This window comes from Homo sapiens, chromosome 7, assembly GCF_000001405.40.
Source record: "Homo sapiens chromosome 7, GRCh38.p14 Primary Assembly".
Taxonomy (NCBI): Eukaryota; Metazoa; Chordata; class Mammalia; order Primates; family Hominidae; genus Homo; species Homo sapiens.
The window spans coordinates 138,221,168-138,227,726 of NC_000007.14; positions in this window are offsets into that span (position 1 = coordinate 138,221,168).

Consider the following 6,559-nt stretch of genomic DNA (forward strand, 5'->3'; position numbering starts at 1 on the left):
TTGGAATGGCTGTATTTACCCAATGCCTGTACCCCCACTGTATCTAGGAAGTAACTAACCTGCTTTTGACTTTACAGGTGGAAGGGACTTGCCTTGCTTCAGATGAGACTTTGGACTGTGGACTTTTGAATTAATGCTGAAATGAGTTAAGACTTTGGGGGGCTGTTGGGAAGGCATGATTGGTTTTCAAATGTGAGGATGTGAGATTTGGGAGGGGCCAGAGGTGAAATGATATGATTTGGCTGTGTCCCCACCCAAATTTCATCTTGAATTCCCAAGTGTGGGAGGGACCCAGTGGGAGGTAATTGAATCATGGGGGCAAACCTTTCCAATGATGTTCTCATGTTACAAAATAAGTCTCGTGAGATCTGACGGCTTTAAAAAGAGGAGTTACCCTGCACAAGCTCTCTCTTTGCCTGCTGCCATCCATGTAAGACATGACTTGCTCCTCCTTGCCTTCTACCATGATTGTGAGGTCTCCCCAGCCACGTGGAACTGTTATTCCATTAAACCCCTTTTCCTGTATAAATTACCCAGTCTTGGGTATGTCTTTATCAGCAGCGTGAAAATGGACTGATACAAACTGTAATGATAGGAGGCTGGGTAGGTTTCTTTTGTCCTTAGCCAGAAGAGTAGGGGAAGGGAAGAATTGTTCATAAGAAAAGAAGGTTTACATTGCCTGAAAGGCATGTGAGTTTGCCCCAGAGGAGCTGCACCACATGTAGGGGTCAGAGATCACAACCAGAAAAGACAGAAAAGAATCCTTCCCCTTTCCAGGCAGGCAACTACCCCCATTCACTGCTTGCATTCAGGCAACACTGGAGAGTAGCCCTGGCCAGAATCCTGCAGTTACCTTCCTGTTTAGTCACTGCCCATCAAGGGTCCACAGTTGAGGAGAGAGGAGAGAGGAGAGAGGAGAGAGGAGAGAGGAGAGAGAGATTCCCCTGTATGGAACAGAAAGGAAAATGAGAAAAATAAACCCCAAGCTTTGGGCTTACCTCCTGACTGGCTTGCCAAAATATGTTACCGGTTGAGGTGTCCAGGTTCTTAGCATTTTAAACAAAAAATTAGACAAAATGCACAAATGAAGCAAGAAAAGAATGAAGCAATAAAAGCAGAGATTTATTGAAACAAAAGCACACTCCACAGAGCGGGAGCGGCCCCAGCAAGTGGCTAGCCCAGTTACAGAATTCTCTGGGGTTTAAATACCCTCTGGAGGTTTCCCATTGATTACTTGGTGTAAGCCCTTTGTAAATGAAAAGGCTGAAGTGAAGTTACAAAGTTATTTACTTGGAGTACACACTATGAAAATAAAGAAGATGAAGTGAGGTTACAAAGTTATTTACTTGGTGTACACCTTATGCAAATTAAGAGGATGTTTCCTGTCATAGCTGAAGTAGAGATACAAAGTTATTTACTTGGTCTAAGAAAGTTGGAGTTTTTCTGTTTGATTTAGTTCTAAGAAGGCCTTAGGTTTCCTGCTCCCAGACCTTATTCTCCTGCCTCAAAACTGTCATTAAAATGTTTTGTCTCTGAAAGTAAGATGCATATAACTACCTTCTAACAAATTAATTCCTAATGATTTCTTAATTATTCTAGTGAGTTCTTAGTGTAATTAAATATTTGTGCTTCCTATTTATTTAATCATTCAATTTGTAGAATTTGTATAGAATGACTTCATTCTTGCTATAATTTTTATTAAGAAATAAATATAGTCAGGCATGATGGCTCATGTTTGTAATCCTAGCATTTTGGGAAGCCAAGGAAGGAGAATCTCTTGAGCCCAGGATTTGAGACCAGCCTAGGTAACACAGGGAGACCTTGTCTCTATTTTAAAGAGAATAAATAAAGAAAGAAAAATTATAATACCTTCTAAAAATTGTGCTTAAGGAAAAGAAAACTAATTATACTCAAGGAAGGGATACCTTTTTCCTAAATCTCACAAAAGCTGGCTACAGGTGCTAAGGCATAGCTCTCAAAATGTTAAAAACATAATTCTAATACAACTAGTGAGTTCATGTCAAATATTTATTAAACTCATTAATAAGGAACCCAGAAGGATGAAAAGCCCAGTTCAAAAGAGAATTTAAGAAACTAGATTTTTATGATAAGTGGAGAGGGGGCAGTAATGCTGAAATAAAGTTGTTAAATTAGATAAAGTTATATGATGATTAAAACCCTAAGGGGGCCAGGTGCCATTCACTCCTATAATCCCAGCACTTTGGGAGGCTGAGGTGGGAGGATTGAGAGAAGAGAGAGGAAGGAACTAGTTAGGCAGATAGTTCAGACAGACACCCAGTAGAAGCCCTTCCAACAAAGGATCAGCCTGGAAGAAATCAAGCTGCAAGCACAGATAAGGAAGCAAGGCTCAACACATTTATCTTTTGAGCAACAAATGAGCTCCAGGTATACAGAGTGGGCTTCAGTGAGCGCATTCCTTTCCTTTTTGGGCATATTCAGATAAGGGGACTGGCATCAGGGGGCTTGCCTAAGACAGGCCTGCAGCTGTATAGATTAAATTTACACTGAATCAGGCAGGTCCACAATGGAAAATTCCATCTCCTGACACGTGTGCAGTAAGGGAAATGACACAATATGGAGTAACTCATGTTAAGAACTCACATGCTCACTAGAGGGATGGGGTGGAGCTGTCAGAAATTTGCATCTTATGCAAATAAGGAACTGGTTTTTTGCACCATATGCAAATGAAACACCCCACCCCACTGGCTTGTTTATAAAAGACTTTGTATTCAACTGTGAAATAGCAACGCTCTCAGGCCCCATCTCCACAGAGGAAAGCTTTCTTCTTTCACTTATTAAACTTTTGCTCCAACCTCACTTTTGGTGTCCACACTCCTTAATTCTCTTGGTCATGAGACAAAGAGCTCAGATAACACCCCAGACAACAAGACTGCTCCAGAGACCCTAGACGGCTTCAGGATCACTTGAGGCCAGGAGTTCAAGAGCAGCCTGGGCAGCATAGTGACCTCATCTCTACAAAAATTTAAAGAATTAGCTCGGCATAGTGGTACGCACCTGAGGTGGGAGGATTGCTTGAGCCCTGGAGTTTGAGGCTGCAGTGAGATATGATACCACCACTGCACTCCAGCCTGAGTAACAGAGACCCTGTCTCTAAAATTTTAAAAAATAATAATCTTACAGGAATAATACGATCATAACCTTCTTGTTTGAGGTCAGGAGTTTGAAACCAGCCTGGACAACATAATGAGACCTTGTCTCTAGAAAAAAATAAAAAAATAAGGCAGGAGGATGGCTTGAGCTCAGGAGGTCACGCCACTGCACTCCCACCTGGGTAACAGAGCCAGACCCTGCCTCGAAAAAAATTATTTTAAAAAATCATAACCTTCTGCTTTACCTTTCCTACTCAACAAAAAAGAAAGTTGTTGTACCAGATCAACTTTACAGAATTGCAAAGTCTCTGGGTTCTAATGAATTATGCCAACAAGCTTAAATTTCCTGAGTCAGATGGTCCTTGGGTGGGCTTGCTAGAAATGTTCTTAGCATGACATTAATCACCTTTCGCCTTAGGTCCAAGTTTTCGATAATGTTCCTTAACATGGGCTAGTGGTAGCCCCGCATATTCACAGCAAAGCAGGACTCAGTACTTGATTGTATAAAAAACAAAATGATATAAAACCAGTATGAACTCATAAGGCATAGTGGAGTGAAGAAGATTTTACTAAAGACTTTACAGTGAGATTGAAGAGAGAGTTACACTGTATCTCTCACAGCAAAACTTACATCCTTCGTTTATCATGATTGTTGTCTTAGCTACATTGCTTCCCCCTTGGCCCTCCCCAATTCTTTCTCTACCTATTCTATTTTTTTTCCTAGTGCAAAGAAATATACCTTCTTCAAACTTGCATCCTCACACCTGGTAGCCCCCAACTCAAGCAATAAATGGGCATTTTACAAATGAAGATCCAAAATGAGTGATCAATTCCAAATCAATTCTTTTTGTTCTTCTTAATGTCACCACTGGTCAGAAGTAAGCCATTTTGCCTCAAGAAGAAAACAAACAAACAAACAAAAAAACACCATATGGATAAGATAATCCAGGCTTGTTAATTTCCAATCATTATTTTAGGACCACTGATACTGTTCCATGTTTTCATATCTGTTATAGCATTTACTATAAGGTAGGCAGCTATTACTATCACTATGTAACAAATTAAGTAGCTGAGCTCAAAGAGGCTGCCGTCTTGCCAGTCATAATAAAAAGCAAGGCTCAGGTCGAGACCCAGGGCTTCAGATTCCAAACTGGGAGCTGATTTCTTATAGCTGAGATCAGAGGTTATAACCCTCTGTTCTGTTAGTAAATCTATGAATTGGTGCTCAATCTAAAATGCTACTTAGAAATAATTAACTAGGGCCAGGCACGGTGGCTCATGCCTGTAATACCAGCACTTTGGGAAGCTGAGGTGGGTGGATCACGAGGTCAGGAGATCAAGACCAGCCTGGCCAACGTGGTGAAACCCCATCTCTACTAAAAAATACAAAAATTAGCTGAGTGTGGTGGTGGGCGCCTGTAATCCCAGCTACTTGGGAGGCTGAGGCAGGAGGATTGCTTGAACCCAGGAGACAGAGGTTGCAGTGAGCTGACACGGTGCCACTGCACTCCAGCCTGGGCGACAGAGTGAGACTGTCTCAAAAAAAAAAAAAAAAAAAAAAAAATTAACTATTATTCTCCTCCTCCAGGATTTCTCATTCTCAGCGCTATTGACATTTTTCTTTATTGCAGGAGGCTGCCTGTGCATTGTAGCATGTTTAGCAGCATTTTGTGCTACTTAGAATCCATTAACTTGATGCAAGTAGCAACCACACACACACCTTTCCCCAATGATAACAAAATCAGCCCCAGTTGAGAACCACTGTTCCGCTCTATGCTGAACTCCTGTGGAATTCCCATCCTCTGTGTTTCCCTCAGCCTGTGAGAACACGAGTGTAGGCCCTGAAAACCTCCTGCCTGTGGCCTCTGTTTGGTCCTCCTGGACTTCCTGTAGGCCCCTTGCCTGCAGTAACCAACATCCTCACTGTGAGCCTTTATCTGTCCTTGGAGGGTGTCCAAAACCTACTCACATCCGCTTGATTCTGTACGCTAGCTCATCCAGGCAGCCTGAGTCCATGGCTATTCAAGACCAGGAGTTAAAATTGAATTGGCTGCCCAAGAATGATTTACTGGAGGCTTCTGGAAATGTCTTCCACAACTGGATTAACTATTTTGATTAATTTGACCCGTCAGTTTGTTAGGAAGGAGAGGAATAGCCATTTAATTTATTTATTCACTTAATTTATTCAACTGAATAATTTATTTAGATGCATTCATTTATTTATTTAACTGATACTGTGACTGAGATGACTTGTTTTTTGACTAAATTGAACAGTTGAAATGATCAGATTAGTTGTGCACTGAGACTCAGCCTGAATGCAGCTACCATCTCAGTGCAAGTGATTTCATATCCTTTATGCCCCAGAGAATGTAGCTCAGTTAATAAATAATCACAATTTTTATTCAGCAGTTGTTTCTAACTATTCTTTTTTCTTTTCGTTGCAAAGAATATATGATTTTTTTTCTTAAATTTCAAAAACGGTTGTAAAAATAATGTTTGGGTACCCTTGTGCTGATATGACTGACTGTATCTTTCAGGCAAGAGAGAGCGTCATTCACTAGCACATACACATAACTCAGTACAATAAATGTGTGTCATTGTACATCAATGGTGGATTTCCTGTGTGATGGAGGGGAGAAAAAGAGAAGACAGAGCAGAGGGTTCTCTTCACACTAGATTTCTTAGGGAGCTCGTAAAAAGGATTTACTGTATTTTGATTAATCCATCCTTCATCCACCTTGAGTGTCTCCATGGCAACCGGATATTTGTTTCCCAAAGATTGGCTTTCAGACTATGGAAGGTTCATTCAGCTCCATACAAAACCCCCTGTATTGCTGAGAACCACATATTTGAAATTCAGTGTGCATAGACAACCACTCCCAAACCCTTGTCTGTGTTACTGATGCCAGTGCTACTATCATTTTATCAATGACAAGACATGATCAATTTTTGAGGCATTTTCTCAGAGTTAACACAGACATCTGTTTTGCCTCTATTCCTCAGTAACATTAAGTATTTTAAGCTTAGCTTGAAGGAAGCGAGCTAAGTAGCCATTATGGGACTGAAAAAAAGAAAAAAGAAAAAAGACACCATGTCAAATGTTGGTTAGAGTATTTCAGGGCATAGGTCTGTAGTACTGCACCAATTAGATGCTCTTGTAAATAAAAATAATATCCAAAATTAATGATCCTGGCTGGGCGCAGTGGCTCACTCCTGTAATCCCAGCATCCTGGGAGGCCAAGGCGGGCGGATTACTTGAGGTCAGGAGTTTGAGACCAGCCTGACCAACATGGTGAAACCCCAGCTCTACTAAAAATACAAAAAAAAATTAGCTGGGCCTGGTGGCGCACGCCTATAATGCCAGCTACTCAGGAGGCTGAGGCAGGGAGAATCGCTTGAACCTGGGAGGTGGAGGTTGCAGTGAGCCA